Raw genomic sequence first — 1863 nt, forward strand, 5'->3', positions numbered from 1 at the left:
AGTCCCAGACACTCGGGAGGCTGAGGCAGGAGGATCACTTGAGGCCAAGAGTTGGAGGCTGCAGTGAGCCATGATCATGCCACTGCATGGCTTGAGCAGTGGAGGGCACCTGATCAGCCAGGGTTGAAGAGGGATCTGGAGGGTTTTCCAGAAGAACTAATTTTCGTAGAGGCTGAGTTTGGTGGTGTCAGTTAAGAGTCGGCCAGGTGGGGGGATTTAGAAGTGCATTTAGGGAGGACCCTGAGAATGGATGAACAACAGGCAAGCAGAACCAGGGGTCAGGGAGGCGTTCCTGACAGCGCCGTGCCAGCACCTGGCCCCCGCCTACCTTAAGCAGACGTGAGATTTCTCAGTCATGTGAGACAGCACATTCGCATTTGGCCTAAGGTCAGGCTGAGTCTCTGACAATTGCAGCAAAAAGCGCTGTACTAATACTGACTCTGAGAAAATGGAGCAGGATAGGACACGGGATGAGAAGGGGCTCTAGCCTTGGGGTATGGAGACCCATCCCAGCTGCATCCTGGGGAGGTCCCGGGGCCACAGACTTGGGAAGGACTCGAGTGAGGGGCTCCACCTGAGGGCCAAGGCATGGTGTCAGCCTGGGGGACACCCCTAGCACTGCATTCAGGACAGCCCCTGCCAGAGGAGCCTGGACATGGAGACCCCCTTCTGACCCCGGATCAGGACTCCTGCCAGCGACACACCCCAAACACTCAGAAGCCCCCGAGGACCCCTGGACACCCCACAGGCGGCGCAGGTCCGCAGGTATCCGTTCTTTGGGGAGAGGTGTGGTGAGTCGCACACTCCAAGACAGAGAGGGGTGAACACCGCCACTGCGTAAATGTGTGAGTCATTTTCTGTGGATGGACATTGAAGTCACGTGGTTGGATAAAGTCATTGAAGACTAGGTGGCCAGGAAGGGCAGTGAGGGCCCTGAAATATCACCATCACGACGGGAGGAAGGTGGGCGGGTCCTTGACGCAGTCACGTGGCTGAAGGAGGATGACGGTTCAGGATGGCCAGAGCCTCTTCCAAGACAACCCCCTGGGGAAATGGGGTGACCTGGGGAGCCAGGGGTCCTGGGCAGCTGCCCACCAACCCTGGCGAGTAGGACCAGGCTTTCCTCACTGGGACTCTGGGCAGTGAGGCAGAGGAAGGAAGGACTTGCCTCCCAGGCAACCGGTGGGTGCCAGTGACTTCCAGGACAGAGAAGAGCAAGGCTGGCCCGGAGAAGGAGCGAACCCCTCCCAATCGCCGCCTTCAGGGGCTTGGGCACTGCACTTGGGGACACCCCTGAAGAACTGTTTGCTCTACCCCAAAGCAAAGTCATGACACCAGAAACAGAGCCATGGATGCTACTGGCCAGTGGAGGAGGTCGGGGAGGCCAGACCCTAATAGGAGGAGTCAGGGAGGACGTGGAGGCAGCAAGCCCGGGCAGTCCTTTCCGTGGAGACAAACACCCCGACCTGTCGGCAGGCAGGAGGCATGAGGCTACAGTCAGAAGAACATGAGGATGACGGGCAGCATGTGTGCATGCGTGTGCGCGCGCATGCATGTGTGTGTGCACGTGTGTGTACATGTGTGTGCCTCCGTGTGTGCATGTGTCTATGTGTGTGCAAGAGTGTGTGTGTGTGTGTGTGTGTGTGTGTGTGTGTGTTTATGGGAAGCCTCAGAATGCTCACTTCCTGAAGGAGAACAGGTTATGAGGGAGAGGCAAGGGGGGGTTCCTGTCCCTGAGCAGGTGCAGGTGACCAGGCCCAGCGCATCGCAGGAGGGGCCGGGAGGAGAGAAGCCTGGGAGAAGCCATTCGTGACCTAACAAAGCTGGCACTGGCCACCCCCAGGGTTCCGGAAACTCTGAGTC

Source organism: Homo sapiens, chromosome 8, assembly GCF_000001405.40.
Source record: "Homo sapiens chromosome 8, GRCh38.p14 Primary Assembly".
Lineage (NCBI taxonomy): Eukaryota > Metazoa > Chordata > Mammalia > Primates > Hominidae > Homo > Homo sapiens.